Here is a 19,096-nt window from a genome sequence, read left to right as displayed (position 1 = left end):
TTGTAAAAGAAATTTAAATCTAAGAGGGAAATATCCATTTTTAAGAATGTCTGCCTATGTACATTAGAAATACTTACTATCCTCCTAGATTTACAAAATAAGTCATACCTTTGTTTAAGGTACTTTTCTGGCCATCTTGTCTTAAGTAAACTTTTATTTGACCAGTTGTTTCCCCCTGGTTTGAGCAAACGATGATACAATATTTAGGCATAAAATCTTAGCTCTATGCTAATGAAATAGAAATTTGTTTTTGTTCTACCTAAGATTTGTCCCTTTAGAAATGAAACTCTATTGCCTAGTTAACAAGTCCTTAGGGCAATGAAACAGGTAACTGGAAGATTGATAGATCAAATGGGGAAAAGAAAAACTAAAAGCTGACAAATGAATATCCTTTATGAAAGCTACAACATCTGCTTCCCTGTGTTTGCATGTCAATCTGCATTATGTGTCTGTGATAATATTTGGTAAAGTTAGTTTTTAAATTGTTAGGAAAACAGAAATGGCTTTGAAATTATCAGTTAAATATAATTAGGTACTTGCTTGATTTGACTGTGAGCTTATGCCTTTGGTTTAGAGTCTGGATTCAGGTGGCCATCATGAGGTCTGGTGACATGTTCTTAATGCCTAGACCAGCAGCTACAAGCCAGAATCAAGCCCAGTTATGGCCCTTTCTTCCTCTGCTTTCCCTGTTTTGCCTCCTGGCTATTTAGGGAGGGGTTGGACCCTCCAGGTATAGTCCTTCAGGTATAGCCCTGTCTTCTGTCCTGATGGGCTCAGACAGGCCCTGAACTTCATAGTCCTCCTTGGTGCCATGTGGCTACTTGGGACCTAGAATGACTGGCAGAAGACATTGGGGAGGCTGTGTCATACTTTCAAAATGCTTTTCAGTAATTTAAAATCTTGGAGTCACGTTATGTCACATTAAGTAATTGATCATCATAAAATGTCTAAGTCTTCTGTAGGTGAAAATACTGAAATATCAATTGTTCCTCACGAGTTTAAGCCTATATGTATTGACATGTTATTTTTATATGGTATAGAAAAGGTAAATATATTCACATCTGCTAATAAACAATAATTTGAAGAAGTGTCTTTCTAAAAAATTATAAAATGATTTTTATCTACAAATACTGATATAAAAGAGTTCAAAATTACTTTCTATGGTTTTCACTAGAAATTAGGGTTACCAAAATTAAAAACTACTAGATATGAAAAAAGCAATTCTGTATACAAAGTGTATAAACAAAAGTAAGATATGCATTTAATGAGAAAAATTATAAAGACATAAATATGCTTGTTAAAAATTTTGTCTGGTTTAAATTTACATAAAGGCTTCAAACTGAAGGGGTAAAAGAAAAATAGATAAAACAAGATGAATATTACAAGTTGGGGAAAATGTGAAATGAAAGGTTTATGGAAATCTTGTGTGGTTAAAAGATGAGAGGATGACCAAAACGCAGAAATTATTCAATCAAGTTTAGCCTAAAGCTGCCTCCTTACATATTCTAAGTTCAGCCTAAAGGTTTCTCTATACATTGTAAACTATAACCTAAATGGAGTTGTATACAGACTACAGCCAATTCTAGTGCCAATTACTGAATTTTGGCCAAAGGTGGCCAACTCCTCAAACCAGGTTCAAATGAGGCAGACACCAAGCTGTAACCAATCTGGCCATTTCTGTACCTCACTTCCATTTTCTCTAAGTCATTTTCCTTTTGCTATCCCTAAATCTTCTTCCACCCTGTAGCTGCACTGGAGTCTCTGATCCTACTCTTGCTTGGGGGGGTGCTCCATTCATGAATCATTTCTTATTCAAGTAAACTCTTTTAAATTTAATTCAGCTGAAGTTTTCCTTTCTTCTTTTTCAAACATAAGAATTTTGCCCTAAACCTGTGATATTGAACCTAACTCCAGGTATAGCCAGAACTGCACTGCACTGAGAAAGTTACTATTGCTCCTAAGTGGCTTTGAAACACTTCTCTAAGCAATAATTTCGAAGGAACTTGATTCTTGAAACGTCATCTGATGTTATTTTTGTCAGTCAGGTTTCTCAACGCCAACTGTCACTGAAGCATTCACACATTTATCTTGGCCCTCCTCTAAAATGATTGACTAAGGCACTTTGCAGGCTAACAATTTGTCTTGGGCATCCTACTCATCTATATCCATCCCTTCCCCCATTTATGTTCAAATATTTCCAAAAGAAAATGCTACCCTCTGTATTTACCTGAGTTCTTATTGAATCCCTGCTCATGGTATCAATGCAGAGAAAGAGACCAACTGACTGTCCTTATTTTCACCCCTATGTGTAATCCCTTTGTTGTACCCATAATGTCAGGAAAGACAGGTAACAACATCCCATGGCCAGAAAGGAAGTCTTACCATGAGACTTTCTCTCCTACCCTTGGGACACAAGGGTTGTGGCAAACATTTTCCTATTTCATCTATTGAGTCAGTTCTCAGCCTGCAGAGGACCCGTTTCAGATAGGCATTCAGGAATACTTTCTTCTCCTAGTCTACCCACTCTTTTCCCCTCTCATTATTATTCTATTTCTATCCCACTTTCATGTTCCATGGAGGGGAAAAAAAGCAGATCCAGTTAGTCTTCCACTCTATTGGAGGTGGCTTTAAGTCCTTCAATGTCTTCAGGGATAAATACCTACGAGACAAACATACCTGTTCTTGCCATTACCAAAAGAATTTCAACAGTATAACAAGTCACTGGGTCAACAAAGTCACTCTTTTTCTCTTTCACTATAAAGTATTCTCCAAGGAGAGGAGAAGAAAGAAAGGAAAAAAAGGGGAAAAAGTATGTAAGAAAACCTTACAGAATTACAAAACTAGAGGCTAAAAGGGTAAGTTGTCGTAGTTTTCACTGCTTTTGACCCTGAACTTTTGTAAAAACTACACCCCAGTAACTAAAATTGCCCTCCTTGTGTACAGCAGTATGATAAACCACATATAGAAGCCTTTTCTTTCTCAGACTTGAATGTCTTGGCTTGGTAACAGAAAGGAGCAATTAGCAGCTGTACAGACATAGTCAAATTGTACAACTATCTGAATCTTAGTTCTCCCAGTTAATAAGCTTTTGGGATTATTGTGGCAGCAAAATGAGATAATGTTTATAAAGTATATGACCCATAGTAGGCTTACAAAAAGTAGTAGCTATTATTATTGCTATCATTGCTTACTTTTGAAACGCAAGGTGCTAAATGGTTATAAACCACTGTTTTCAAGCCTAGCAGCATAGATTAGAAGCCTTTATTTCCCTTTACTAGCTACATATCCTTGAGTATTTGCTAAACCTCTCTAATCTTTGATTTCTTCATCCATAAAAGAAGGATAATAAATATTACCTACTTCACAAGGTTGTTTTAAACATTAAATGAAATGAAATACATGAAGTGTTCACAACAGTGTTTGAAAAATTGTGAGCACGAAGTCAATGTTTGCTATTATCGGCAGTAGTTGTAGCGTGGAAAGAGTGGATTTTCAAAAATGAGTTTATTTTGATTGAGAACTCAAATGTTTTATACATGCAGCCACTCAACTGGGCAATTTCGGTGATAGCAGGTACTGGCTGAACATGTCAGTTCACTCAACAGGAGAGATTCTGCTTTTGAGTTTCTTGCCTCACATTAAAAAAGGTGTTTCCATTCCAACTCTGACCCATCTTCCTGGTTAAGACAGACAAACAGGCAGACTGATACCTCTCTCATTAACATGTTTCTATATTCTTTGAGTATAGCCAAGTGGAGATTATATGAATCCTCATAGAGTTTCTCTTTCCTCCACATTGTGGTCCCCAGTTGCACAATGAGTGTTAAGTGGCTGAATGAACAACTCTACAACCATTGAAAGAAAGTTGCTGAGGGGGATGCAGTAATGGATTCTATAGTTGTACCCTGGACTCACACAGCATCGGGTTCAAACCTGGCTATCCCACTTACAACTCATGGCCTTACACAAGTTACTTAAATATCCAAACATCGGTTTTCTTTCAAGTAGAATGTTAGTATAGGTTATAGTCTCTTATCCAAAATCCTTAAGGTGAAATGGGTTCTGAGATTGAGGCTTTTTCAGATTTTAGAATGTTAATGAGAAATATTCTGTATATTATGTGACATCCCAGCCAGAGTCTCCAGCAGTTCCCTTTAATAAAGCATGCTAATATTTCAGCAGATAATGTAGGATTATTCACATTATTACATAAATAAACAACAATTTGCCACCAGTTGAGTTCAGGTGAGGTCATATTCTGCTACCAAATGAATTAGAAAATCAGCTTCCAAGTTGTAGTGGTTTTTCAATTTCAGTATTGCAGGAAAAGTACTGTGAATTTGAAATATTTGTTCCTGCCTCTACGGTGTTTTGGAACCCATTAAACAAAATTGTCACAATAAAGTGACTCTAAGTGATATTGGAGTATGAAGCCATACTCTCTAAAGAAAGAGTATTTATAACCCCAGGGACACTCAAAGACATAGAGTGACGTTTTCATACAGCAAATTCTCATGCAATTGTCTTTACATGCTCTCTTTTAATTGTATGTTAGTACTTTGTCAACTAATTCTTCTTAACTCAGCTTAAGTTCCCTGGTTCTTCATTATAATCACTCCCTTGCATTCCCCCATTTCCTTTGCCCCCTCCTGCTCAATGTTCTCCCTTGTAAAAAGACTAATCCTGATTAAATCCTACTCTTGCACCCACTTTGTGATTTCATTCCCACAGCTGAACATTGCTGGAGTAAACAATACAATCACACTGAATGGTCCGATGTTGAATTCATAACTTTGAATTCAGGTACACCCAGAGAGCTTTCTGGCTCTGCCACTCAGATCCCTTTACCTTCTCATTCTTCTATCTTCTAAAGGACTCTTTTTTTCATCTCCCTTGAAACCTATACTTGTACCCCCATCCTTTTTCTCAGATGATGGTCCTACTTTCTATTTCAATGGGAAAACAGAAGCACTCAGAGAGAAGCTTTCGTAAGCTCCCAGCACCACATCTACCCAATTATCTGCATCTATGCCTAAATTCTCTGCTGTCCTCCAGCTATAAAGGAAGTTGGCTGCCCTGGGCACAATCCTTAGATCATTTCTTCTCTACATCTAGGTTCTTTTCCTGGGTGAATGCAAATGGCTCCTCAACATCTCCACTTGGACATCTACTAGGCACTATAAACTCAAGCCATCCAAACTATACCCCGCATTTCCCCTCAACAAATCTGTTATCCCTCATTGCTGGAAATAGCATCTCCATTTTTGCAGTGTCTCAAATTTGAAAACTTCTATAATACTTAATTTCTGTTTCTCCCCTACCATACATCTCATTCCATCATCAGATCCTGTCAGTTCAAATTTCAGCATGTATTCAGACAACAAGCACTTCTTATCAGCTCCAAGGTCCCATTCTAATCCAAACCACCACCATCTCAAATTAACGCAATAGCCACCTAACTGCTTTACATGATTCCTTGCTTGCCCTGTATTGTCTGCTTCTTCTTGACAATCACCAAAGTGATGCTTTCAAAACCTGCCAAACAACAGTCTCTTCTGATCAAAACCCTCAAGGAGTTTACTCAGGGAAAAAGACAAGTTTCCCACAAGGTCTGCACCATTCATACCTCAATCTCTCTCTCAGCTCTACCACTATTATTCTCCCTCTTGCTTTCTGCTCCAACTACACTGACCTCATAGCTGTTCCCTGAGTCTCATGTATTTGCACAGTTTCCATTGGCTGGAACACTATTCCCCAGACATCAATGTGTCTTAGTCCCTCACCTCCTTCAGATTTTGAAATGCTGTCTTCTCAATGAGGTTTGCCTTGTTGGTCTTATTTAAATTGCAACACTCTTCCTCATTGAACTGCCTGTCTCCCTTCCATGCCTTCATATTTTCCATTCTCCTTTTCACTATCCAATACCACATTGTATTTTACTTATTTATTTGTTCATTATGTCTTTCCCCACTAGGATATAAGCTTGACAAAGGGTGATATTTGGGCAGCTTTATACACTATTTTTTTCTCAGTACCTAGAATAGTGCCTGGCAATAAATATTTATTGATTGAATGATTAAAATGCAACAGCCATATTAACTTTTAATATGAACATGAGGTTCACAGAAATGTCCTACCCCTGGGGAGTACAGAATGGCTGTATATAGTTTTACATTCATTGCCTTCTGCCTACAGGGATTCATCACTGGGAAGGTTTGAAGAGGCTTCATGTAATGTGTTCAGTCATAAATCTCATCTCAGGATCATTCTACAGCATCCTTTGCTTGAACCCAACTAAGGACTAACATAAACAGAATAGGTTTTGGCAACTTCCTTTAATATTTTTAAAAAGTAAAGCAATGCATTTATTATATATTTTTATATTTTATTAATTACACTCAGCATGGAACCAATGAACTCTTATTTTACATACAATTCCTACAATTGTACCACAATTGTACTTAGCCCTTAACAGAATAAAAGTAGTGTGGCTATAGAAGTAGGCAAACCAGCAGGAGGAAATGTGTTCAAAAATCTTACTAAACGAGAAAATGGGAAAACTTTTATAATCAATTAAGCATAGGGACAAACAACCCAAAAGGATATCTAAAAATACTAAAACAAAGCACAGATAAGTGATGTTTATAGTTTTAGTTCTGAATTACTGAGAAAGGCTGAAACTAAGTTCATATTCTTTTTTTATTTTTTCAAGACCAACTTTGAATCTTTACTTTTTCTATAACTGCTTTATTGAGATACAATTAACATAGTGTACAATTCACCCACATAAAGTATACAGCTCAGTGAATTTTAATATATTCCAGAGTTATGCCACCATAACCACTAAGTTTAGAATATTTCCATCACCCACAAAAAACAATCCCATACTCATGAAAGTCTCTATCCCTTTCCTATGAAGCCTTTTGTGACTGGTTTCTTTCACTTACCATAATGTTTTCAGGGTTCACCCATGTTACAGCAAGTATTAGTACTTCATTCCTTTTAAGTTTAATGTATTTTTAAAGATAGAAGTTTAGTATTTCAACTAATATTTAATTCAAATAATTTAATTTTAAACTAATATTTACTAATATTAATATTCAGACCTAGCATACAAACTGTTGTCTCTAACATCATTCTCCACTGAAAACATCCAGGGGTCACTTTAAAATTGTTCAATTCAGTAGCATGAGTGGTTCAAGGTGAGCCTAGAACATCTTATGTCAAAAATCAAGAAGCTATTGGACTAAATAATGGGGCCATGTGAAAAGGATGCAGGAACCAGGATGAAAGGACTCCTATTACTTTCATGGTACCTCCTTTTCCTCAGTGAAATAGGAAACAAAGACAGCCATCGTCTGAGAATGAGCATGAAGGTGGAGGCACTAGAGATTTGAACAGAGAAGAGCTGTGGGAAAGAGTCTTTTAGAATAATGAGGTGGTTAAGAGACCAGAAAAATACCCAGAAATAAAGATTGTAGTGGATATAAATACTATGAGTCAATGAAAATTCATGAGTTAATAACAATAATCAAAAAGGAAAAAGTTGGGAAAATTTCATATTGCTATCAGCAGTAACTCTTCAAACTACTTTTACTTTGATGATTGGTAATTAAAAGAAAGAAACTGAGCATTTATCCAGCCTTTCAAAGTAACAACTAATCACAGCTGATGATGGATTTGTCTAATTTACAGAACACTTAAGCTAATAAATGTAGAAGAAATTATAGGATTTTAAAAACATAATTTTCCAAACCCTCTTATTGACCTAGGCAAGTATTACCAAGTCATGTTAAAATCACTTAGGTGAAAGCAAGAACCACACTTGACACAAGTTACTTTCTAGTGTCTCAGGGCAAAACACTCCTGTGCAATAAAAGGATTAGACTGTCATCATCCAGATCCAGTGGCCCACCTATGCATTACTATTGGTGAGTCAACTAGATAGAATGTGTCCTCTGATATGATTCAACAAGAAACCCACAAAATCACCTACATTGTATTCTAGACAAAGATGTTTAACTTGAATTCATCAAGCTTTCCAAGGATGATTCCTGTTTTCAGGATACAGAGGGAATAGAGAAATTCAATTACAGAAGGAGGAGGAGCGGAAAGGAGAACAAGAACAGGAAGAAGAAAGAAAAAGCAAACTAAAGAGGAATAAAGGAAGTAAAATAATTAAAGGAAGTGAAGGATAAAGGAAGAAAGGAATCAGGAGGAAAATGAAGACACCATCAGATAGACCCAGAGAGTTTATAAACACAGAGTTTTTAACATTCTTCAAGGAAATTGACCAGGTCTCTGGTCATATTTACATAACGCATATAATAACACATATAATAAATATGTGTTATGAAAGAGAAGTTGTGCTTGATCAAAAGAGTTTAAAGCAACTTAAAGATCAGATGCAATACTAAGAATATTTGGGACTCAGCTGGAGAAGTTTGAATATGGTCTCAGTATGAGGTGCAATGAAATTTTACTAAAATAGAAGGGTAGAGTTTATTGAAAAAATAAGTTACAAAAAAGGTATGTAGGTATGTACTGCATAGTCTTTTTTAATTTAAAAAATTTTGTTGTAGGAGTAGGTAGATAGGTGGCCAGAAAGACAGTTAGATCTGGAAGGATGCACAGAGGTGATTTCTGGAATTATCTTAATTTCTTTAAACTTTTGTCTGTGTTTTCTAATTTTCTGCACTGTACTTGTACCTCTGTAATAATAAAAGACTGTGTAAAATAAAATAAAAATTGAGTCAATCCCAATAAATCAATCAATAAACACTGTTTTAGAATCAAAAACAGCATGATTCAAGATGGCAAATGAGAAAATCTTAATAAAATGAGAGTAAAGTAATTTTTAAAGTATATGTTTAAAGATGTACCCTTTAAAGATGAGTAGATTATGAGGAAAGCCATTTCCAGAGAAAAAAGATTATGAAGTTATTCATAAATGAAACAAGGTAGAGAAAGCTATAGCTTTTAAAACATATTGAGTGCCCACAGTGGAGAAAGGAGGACTTTCCAGCAAAAATCTAGGGCGTCTCCAAACTCAGAATTAGCTAGCATAGAAGATGGAGTAAGAAGTGGGGCTAAAAACTGAAGTTAACTGGAAGTTTCGGAATCACATAATGCTATGAAGAACAAAATTGGTCAGCTTAATAAATGCTTCATTCTGTTCTTAACAAGGTATGCCCTCAGAGGAAACTGTTTAACCAGAGGCTAACCTGCCAGGGTTTTATGGATGCCTAACTTACACAGGGGAAGGAAAAACTCTAGTCCACTGTAGGCATTCTTTCCCAGCTAAGGGAGAAGCAGACAGCTGAGAATCACTTGTAAGGTTCAAAGTCCAGAGGCACAGGTTCACTAAAAGATTGAGACCTAACTATAGAGCGATAGAATACGTCCCCTCCTTTCACACCAACTCGCCTATTACTAAAGACCTGTTTACAGCAGTTCCTTTTACCCAGCAGTTCCTTTTACTTTATGTCCAGCTATTAAGAAGAAAGTATAAGGCATACTAAAAGGCAAAAACAAAACAAAACAAAAGCAAAAAACACACAGTTGGAAGAGACAAAGCAAACATCAGAACCAAACTTGGATATGGCAGGGATGTTGGAATTGTCAGACAAGATATTTTAAAATAACTATGATTAAGATGCTAAGGACTCTGACGAATAAAGTAGATTGAAAGCAAAAACAGACAGGCAATGTAAGCAGAGAGATGGAAGTTCTAAGAAAGAATGAAAAAAAAATGTTAGAGACACACATACACAAAAAGCCACTGAAACAGAAATGAAGTCTGCCTTTAGAGCTTATTAGCAGACTGGACAGAGCTAAGGAAAGAATCTCTAAGCTTGAGGATATTTAAATAGAAACCTTTGAAACCGCAAAACAGATCAAAAAAAGAAAAAAAAAGAGCAATATCCAAGAACTGTGGAAAAACTGCAAAAGGTATAACATACACATAATAGGAATACCAGAAGGGAAAGAAAGGGAAAAAATAACAGAAGAAATATTTGAAACAATAATGAGTAAAAATTTCCCACCAATGTATGTCAGACACTAATCCAGAAAGCTCAGAGAATACCAAACAGAATAAATGGCAAAAAAAGTACACTTAGTATATCATATCCAAACTACAGAAAATCAAAGTTAGTGAAAGAAGTCAGAGGAAAAATAACCTTACCTATAGAAGAGTACTACCTTACTATTACAAGGCACTCACACTACGCATGAAGTGGTATAGAAATTGAATTACATCCAATTTCTCAGCAGAAACCATTCAAAAAAAAGAAGAAAGTGAAGTGAAATATTTAATGTTGAAAAAAAAACACCAGCCAAAAATTTTGTGCCCTGCAAAAATATTCTTCACAAGTGAAGAAGAAATAAAACTTTCTTAGGCAAACAAAAATTGTGGGACTTTGTTGCCAGGAGATCTGAGTTGTATGATATGTTAAAAGAAGTTCTTGAACTAAATTAGTAAACTCAACACTTCAGGATCTTTGTTAAGAAGCTTGGTTTTGGCCGGGAGGATGGAGTTCAGCGGGCAGCGGAGCTGTCTCAGTCTTTGCCGCCGCCCCGTCCGGGAGGGAGGTGGGGGGGGTCAGCCCCCCTGCCCGGCCAGCCGCCCCGTCCGGGAGGTGAGGGGCGCCTCTGCCCGGCCGCCCCTACTGGGAAGTGAGGAGCCCCTCTGCCCGGCCACCACCCCGTCTGGGAGGTGTGCCCAACAGCTCATTGAGAACGGGCCAGGATGACAATGGCGGCTTTGTGGAATAGAAAGGCGGGAAAGGTGGGGAAAAGATTGAGAAATCGGATGGTTGCCGTGTCTGTGTAGAAAGAAGTAGACATGGGAGACTTTTCATTTTGTTCTGCACTAAGAAAAATTCCTCTGCCTTGGGATCCTGTTGATCTGTGACCTTACCCCCAACCCTGTGCTCTCTGAAACGTGCTGTGTCCACTCAGGGTTAAATGGATTAAGGGCGGTGCAAGATGTGCTTTGTTAAACAGATGCTTGAAGGCAGCATGCTCGTTAAGAGTCATCACCAATCCCTAATCTCAAGTAATCAGGGACACAAACACTGCGGAAGGCCGCAGGGTCCTCTGCCTAGGAAAACCAGAGACCTTTGTTCACTTGTTTATCTGCTGACCTTCCCTCCACTATTGTCCCATGACCCTGCCAAATCCCCCTCTGTGAGAAACACCCAAGAATTATCAATAAAAAAATAAATTTAAAAAAAAAAAATGTAAAAAAAAAAAAAAAAAAAAGAAAAGACAAAATAAAATGAAATAGAATGAAAAAAAAAAAAAAGAAGCTTGGTTTTTCTTTTTAAAAAAGGAGGAGAAACTATTTGGAAACTGGCAACCAAAAAATATTGTCTTTTCCACAAATTTTATTTTTAAAATATGCTTTAGCCGTGTGAGCAAGTAGCCTTAACTTGTCCGATTTTTGTCAGAAGCACAATTTGAATAAAAATATAAGTGGAGATAAGCCAATTGTATTACTGATTCGTGACTAAAATTTTAAAATAAAAGCTATAAGATCTTCGTAAAAAAAAATAAAATAAAATAAAAAATAAAAAATAAAAAAAAAAGAAGTTCTTTAGAGAGAAGAAAAATGATGTAGTTCAGAAACTTGGATCTAACTAAAGAAAAGCATTGAAGAAGGAATAAATGAAGGTAAAATAAAAACTTTTATTTTTCTTATTCTTAATTGATCTAAAGTTTGTTCAAAATAGTAATAACAACAATATATTCAATTACATCTGCTTATGTGCATGTATGCTTATGTATACATGAAATAAATGGCAGCAGTGATGCAAGGAACAGAAAGGGAAAATTTGCATAAGGGGTTCATACTATGCATGAAGTGGTATATAGTGTTATATGAAAGTCAATTTGGATTAGTTGCAAAAGTATATTGCAAACTCTAGGGCAACCACACAAAAAGTTAAAAAGTGTAATTAATATGCTAGGAGAGAAGAGGAAACAGAATCATATAAAATATTCAACTAAAACCATAACAGAAAGAGGAACAAAGACCAAGGGCAAGAAATAGAAAATAGCAGCAAATATGGTAGATATCAATCCAACTGTATCAATAATCACTTTGAACATCAACGTTTAAGTACATCATTTAAAAAACACATTATCAGAGTAGAACAAGAAACAAGACCTAACTATATGTTGGCTACAGAAACCCATTTTAAATATAAAGATATATAAAGTTTAAAAATAAAGGACTCGCTCACACATGTAATCCAAGAGTTTTGGGAGGCCAAGGTGGGCAGATCACTTGAAGTCAGGGGTTCAAGATCAATCTGGCCAACATAGTGAAATGCCATCTCTATTAAAAATACAAAAATTAGCCAGGCAAGGTGGCATGCACCTGTAATCCCAGCTACTCAGGAGGCTGAAGCATGAGAATCACTGGAACCCAGGAACCAGAGGTTACAGTGAGCAGAGATCACGCCACTGCACTCCAGCCTGGGCAACAGAGTGAGACCTGGTCTCTAAATAAATAAATAAATAAATGGATGGAGAAAGATATTCCATGCTAACATGAATCAAAAGAATGCAAAAGTAGCAATATTCATTTCAGACAGAGCAGACCTCAACCAAGGAAAGTTATTGAGGATAAACAGAGGCATTGCATAATGATGAAGGGTCCATTCTCCAAGAAGACATAACTATCCTTAACGTGTATGCACCTAACAACAGTGTTAAAACACGTGAGACAAAAACTGATAGAGCTGCAAGCAGAAATAGATGAATCTATTAGTACAATTACTTAGCACCCCCCTGTCAGAAATAAACAGATCCAGAAGGCAGAAAATCAGTAAGAACATGGCTGAACTAAACAGCACCATCAATCAACTAGACATAATTGATATCTGTAGACTACTTTATCCAGCAACAGCAGAATAACACTCTTCTCAAGCTCACATGGAACATTTACCAAGGCAGACCACATTCTGGCCCATAAAACACACCTGAACACATTCAGAAGAATACAATTCATACAATGTTTGCTCTCAGACTACAGTGGAATTAAAATAGGAATCAATAACAAAAAGTTAGCTGGGAAATCCTAAAATACTTGAAAATTAAACAACACACTTTTAAATTACATTTAAGTCAAAGAAGAAATCTCAAGAGAAATTGAAAAAAAAAATTGAATTAAATAAAAATGAAACAAGTTGATGAGCTTTTAAAATTGAAATTATTAGGCTAGAAGAAACAAAGAAATAATATTTAAATTGAATTTAAATAAAAAACATTAAAATTTAGGAATATGCGATATGGTATTTTAAATAAAGTAGCATACAATATAATACTATGAGTTCTGGTCTGGGAGAAAACATGCCCATGCAGAAAGAAAGACACAATGCTCTCTAATTTGAGAATTGAAGTCTATGCGTGCTATGAAAATGGCTCTTTTTTTTTTTTTTTTGCAAAAGGATTATCTCTGTCATGTCTTCAACCTTAAGTTATTATGGAAATGCTATAGTACAATCAATGAGTCTTCTGCACACAATAGACTAGTGTTTAAGTTTTCTCAATCATGTGACGTTAGAAAATTAAGCAAAATTCTGACTCAATTTCCCCAGCTGTAAAAGGGGCATAAATCTCTGTTCTATCTTACAGCAGTATTGTGAGACTGTATTCACGCACCCTGCAGAGATTTATCAAGGACCTATTACACGCGCTGCATTTCAGTATTCTTAAACAAAGCCTGTAGGCTGGCTGGTCTCCTGAGTCTACTGAAAGGAAATAATGATAAAGCACCCGTTAGAGACCTCTTACTTAAATGGTTTAAATATATATATATATATGTATGTGAGTAAAATATGCTATTAAATTAAGTTAAAAACTTTAACCTGATTACAGGCTTCATACATCTCTTGTGCCATGCTATCCAGTAAGTTTATTTTCAGTAAGAACATATATTTCAGTGTGTACTTTTATAGGTAGTAGACAACCTAAAGTTAATTACATAACACTAAAGCAAGACTTTCTCCTATCAACAGCTTAAGAACTTTTAAATAAATAAGGACATAAATTACTAATAATAAATGTAGAAATGTTGCTATCACCCAATGTTGAAAACAATTCTGTTAACCCAGAATGCATAGCTGGGGCAAATAATCTTTAAAGAATTTGGGAAATTGTATCACTTTTACATTTCATCTCACAACAAGTATAATATTTCCAATGCTGTCCTCTGAGTGAGGATTATCAAAAGAATTGATTTTCATATTAAATTCCATCTAAAATGTACTATAGTTTCTTGGGTCATGAAACATAGATGCTCCATCTGGTTTGCAATGCTTATATCAGTTTGAGGTTAGTTTTTTTGGTTTTTGGTTTTTCTCCACCTAGAGAGCTTGTGCTCCCTCCACCCCTTTTTCTGAACAATAGATCTTTTAAAGACAAGAATCCACTGACCTTCTTCAAGGGTCATTTGGAACCTTGGGTAACATGTAACAGTTCTTACTGATGGACTTTCATACACAGTTACCAGAGACGTCTATGGTAAATAGGGTCTAGGGAAATACAAACCTGGATCTGTCTGCCAACTCATTATTAATACATGTGAATGGCCCGGACCCCTGACCTACACAGTGAATCTGTAAGCACAACTTCCCTCCTTCCTCTCTCCTCAGTATGACACTTTGGTGGTTGCTGGCTGTGCTTACTTTCCTCTATAATTTGTATTCATGTAACCTCCATTACAATATTAACTCAGATTTATTTTGTTTCCACATCTGTTCTTCTCAGCCCTGTTGATAGCACTTCATGGTAAGATGAGCTAGGGAAAGAAAATAAGCAGGGCATGTGGAGTTGCTGGGAATAGACATGGAGCTCTCTTCCTTTGATCTCCAAAGTCGTGTTTCTCCTACAGAGAGTTTCCTCTATGCATCATGGAAAGCATTAGGGGCTGAAGTCACACCACCGTGAAGTTTAAGAAGAGAAAAAGAGAAAGAAAAGACAACTAAAAGCTCTGGAATTCGAAATGAAGACTCCTTGTGCAGTCCTTAAATATTAAAATAAACATCTTTTAAAATCCTCAGGTGAACTCGTGCAAATTGCATATGCAAGTGCGTGTAGAAATGGAATTGTTTGATATATTTAACTCAAGACTTAAAGTACTCTTCAGATGAGTGTCTAATAGGAAAAAGAAAAATTTTATCACCAACAGGAGGATATTAATGTTGCTACAAAACTCAAAATATTCTGAAGTTCCCTGCTAATATTGCAGTGTCAGAGCTCGAAGAATTTTGATGATCATTCATCTCCCCATACTTACTTATTAACTAAATAATCATTATTAGCAACATATATGTGTTCATTGTCAAATTGGTTCATAGCCCTTTCACTGGCTTAACCATGAAAACATAAAATCTAGTCTATTATTTTCTCTAAAAAAACTAATGAAAGTTTTTCTGGGCATTAAAATCCTATGCCTAAATGTGATTTTAGTTTCATATCACATTTTTTTACTTTTCATTTTTCTTCAGGTAAAAAATAATCAAATCAAATTGTAGTTTCCATTTTACCCAGTTATTTTGGCCCCAAAGAGATGATAGTGAATAATTTAAATTATATTATATATTAATCATTTTTATTACGTTTTTGTTAGGCAGGAATAGTACCATTATTCCTCTATCCCTTCCCTTTAAAAAATTCAGAAATGGGCAATGGCTGTGAATATGGAAGGAGTTGTGCATAGTGTTTAAAAGTGTTAAATCTGAGCTGAGAGAAAATTAGTTCTTTTGCAAACAATGGAAAACCAGGGAATTATTTCATTGTCACGACCCAGTAGCCACCAGATGCTTAGAATTCCATGTATTTTAAAAACAAACCATTCAACGACTCCTTTGACACCCAAAGTATGTCAATAATTCAATGTATTAGTTGGATGCAAATTTTATACAATAAGGTATGGAAAGCAAACTGTAATTGGGAGTGCCAGAGTGAATGGAGCTCTATCCTTTGACAGAGCCCATTGTTGAACCCCAGCCTGAATCCCCGACCCTTTACTTTGCAGGGATACAATAGCCTTTGATATGAGATGGTGGGAAACAGACTCAGAGACTCATTTCACATTCAGTTGCAATTCATCAGTTTGGCGGGGACTTTTAACAGCTTTAATGACCACAGCAATTGATGGTTAAATCAATTTGTGCCGGTGACAGCATGGCTGGCCTCTAGACTGTAACAATCCAGGATTGCACTAGGCAGAAAAGACTGTTATTCAGATGTGCACGGCTCCTACTTAGCTCAAAGTGAGAACAACAGGGAGACAGAGTCTCTCACAGGGCAGGCCCTGGAGAATGCACTCATTCACTCCATTTGACTACACAATGCCAGAGCTTCTTTGTAAAGTGTCGCGGTAGAATTTTTTTTTTAAGTATTGTTGGAAGTAAAAATATACAGTAGGAGACAAAGGTTTCTAATATTTAACTATATCCTAAGAGAAAGTAGCAAGCCAGAAAGAATTTAACCTTTGTTTCTTTGATCGAAATGGGTGGTCCTACTACTACCATCACTAGACACCCCTCCTCCCGTAAAAAATTGAAAGAAAGGAAAAGAAAATCAACAGCAGAGATTATAACAGAGGAGGTTTCCATTTAGAAAAAAAAGGTGAAATGGTAATTAGAAAAACACCACCACCACATTCTGTGTCCAAGAAAAGGAAGAAATATTGCTCCCTCTTCTGTTTATCACAGGTAGTTTTTTTCCAAATAGAAGTCGTCTTTTTACATTTTTAAATATAAATGTTTACAGTGAAGAAACACGCCATCAGCATAGTGAGACGCCAGGCTGGCTTATATGATTTATTTATAATAAAAAAGTTAAATAAATAAATACTTTGCTAAGCCTACTTTATAATGTTTAAGAAATTTATAAGAAAATTTGACATTTTACAGGTGGGGGAAGGGACAGTCATTTCACCAACAGAACTTTTTGTGCCAGCACACATGAGTGTTAGAATGACTAATTCAACTCCATACAATACTTTACAAGTCTGCATAAAATTTGCTATGTAAGGCATCTCACTGTAACTTCAAATAATGGAGGACGCAAACATATCATTTAAACATCAGAATAATAACTGCTGGAATAACGTAAGGTCCACATATGCACTTTAATGAACTTCTAAGGTATGAAAACTAATTTAATAAGTGTTTAGGGTTTTTAAAAAAACAGGCATCATGCTACAAATTTTGCAAAACAGAAATCCTCTGTAAAAGTACAAAACTCAGACACATAAAGTATTAAATTCAGGACTTGATGGAATTGACCACAGGATGGAATTTTTGTGATCTTGAGTTACCTTTCATGCTCCATTAGAAATCAAACCAAATAATAAAATATTTTTTAAAGTTATTGAAAAGAAGGGGGAAAAGGAATCTCTCTTAGAACATAGGTGGATCCATGGGAAATGTATTGCACAAAACACGCAGCTATAGCACTGTGAAAAAAATGTAAACAACATTTTCCAACAGATTTGTCTAAACATTGAAAGAATATTGAGGTTGTACAGAGGAGGTCTTGGCACTGAGTCCAGAAGCTGAGCTTGGTAACTGGGGAGGGGGAAGAAAAGGAGGCGAGTTTCCATGGCAACGCTGGTGCTGCGTGCAAATGGAACAAGCGTGCATCTTCCCAAGGGAGGAAGGGAGCACGGAAAGTGGAAATGGAGGGGGAAGGGCAGTGTAGCTTCTGCAAGGCCAGTTTATGCTGAATAAGTGTTTTGTGTAAAACTGTGACATGATCTATATCAGAGTATATATTGTGAGAGACCTGAGATCCTCTTGTGATGTACTGAAGCAATGATTAAAGATCATTTTGCCTGGGAATATATATTTATCTTACAATATCCATTTTGGATGTATAAAAATATTGAATTCATCCTGTTGCATACATTGTCCTCTGCCTTCACAATAGAATAGCATGAGGTGACTAGAATAGAATTTTGCATGGATTTTCCATATCTTTATACCTGAGAGTCAAGTTTATATGGGAGAAAAAAAACCTTTTATGTCCTTCTCTTAGCTTAAAAGGCAGATAGATGTGGTTTCTTATAGTGTTAAATGTGAAACTTTATTCACAATCACGACAACAGTGTTTCATGTGTCACAAGGCAGAATATTACACGTAAGGAATAAGACTGTATAAAAGCTAACTGATAACATTACTTATCTCATTTAAATTAAATCATTATTAATATTTTATCCCATTATAAATGACAATGTGAAGATTAAAACAAAGTGACACCAAGAAGAGGTGACAGATGGAGAGCTAACTCTCCTCAATGCTCTAGAAATCAACATATTACTACTAAGGAAAAACCCTTTCATTGGAGGTCAGATTATAGTGCAAATTAGCATTGAGTAGAAATGCCCAAAATGTGGGCTTGATTGCACAAGAATTAAACTTACACCATTGCCTGATGGTTTTAACAATTAAAAATCTGGTTCATAATATATACTAGTCTATAAATTCTATGAAGGTAGTGGCTATGTTTACCTTTTCCACATAATAGTGTGAAGTTTCTCAGCAACCACCACAAAACCTACATATAGCAGATGCTCAATACATATTTGTTGACTACTGAATGAATAAAACAAACCGTTTTCAAAATTGGGAGAGACAATTTGTAAATGCACAGGAAAGAAATGAATCTTCATTCATCATCTCCGATATAACAAGCAGCATGCTCATATTATCTGACTTAACACTCACAAATACCTGCAAATGCTTTCATTATTATCCCCATTTTACAAATGAGAAAAGAGAATCTCTGGACATCTAGGTAATTTCCTCAAATTTACACCACTGAAAAAGCTTGTATTCAAGCCTAGTCCTGTCTAAATATGCAATTCATGATCTTTCAACTTCCTCTACTGACTACTTTATACCAGACAGCATTGAGTAGAGCCCACTTTGTCCAAATAGGAAGAACTGAAGTGCAAAGGACTCACTTGCCATACTCATCACTCTTCTTGGGAACCCTCTAAAAACCCAGAGTGCCATCCTTTTGGTGTCCCATCAGTACTGCTCCTTGAAAGCCAGTAGAGGCCAGAAACTGAAA

The 19,096-nt window shown here is 36.0% G+C and overlaps 1 annotated feature.

Annotated features, from left to right (window-relative positions):
• Positions 14,450-18,462: an enhancer, noted in NCBI's record as "VISTA enhancer hs1302". NCBI's record gives its function as "enhancer in: neural tube[4/4] | hindbrain (rhombencephalon)[4/4] | midbrain (mesencephalon)[4/4] | forebrain[4/4]" and the evidence as "EXISTENCE:transgenic organism evidence [ECO:0001131][PMID:17130149]".

This window comes from Homo sapiens, chromosome 6 (assembly GCF_000001405.40).
Source record: "Homo sapiens chromosome 6, GRCh38.p14 Primary Assembly".
In the NCBI taxonomy this organism is placed as follows: Eukaryota; Metazoa; Chordata; class Mammalia; order Primates; family Hominidae; genus Homo; species Homo sapiens.
This window is presented reverse-complemented; position numbering and strand designations above follow the sequence as displayed.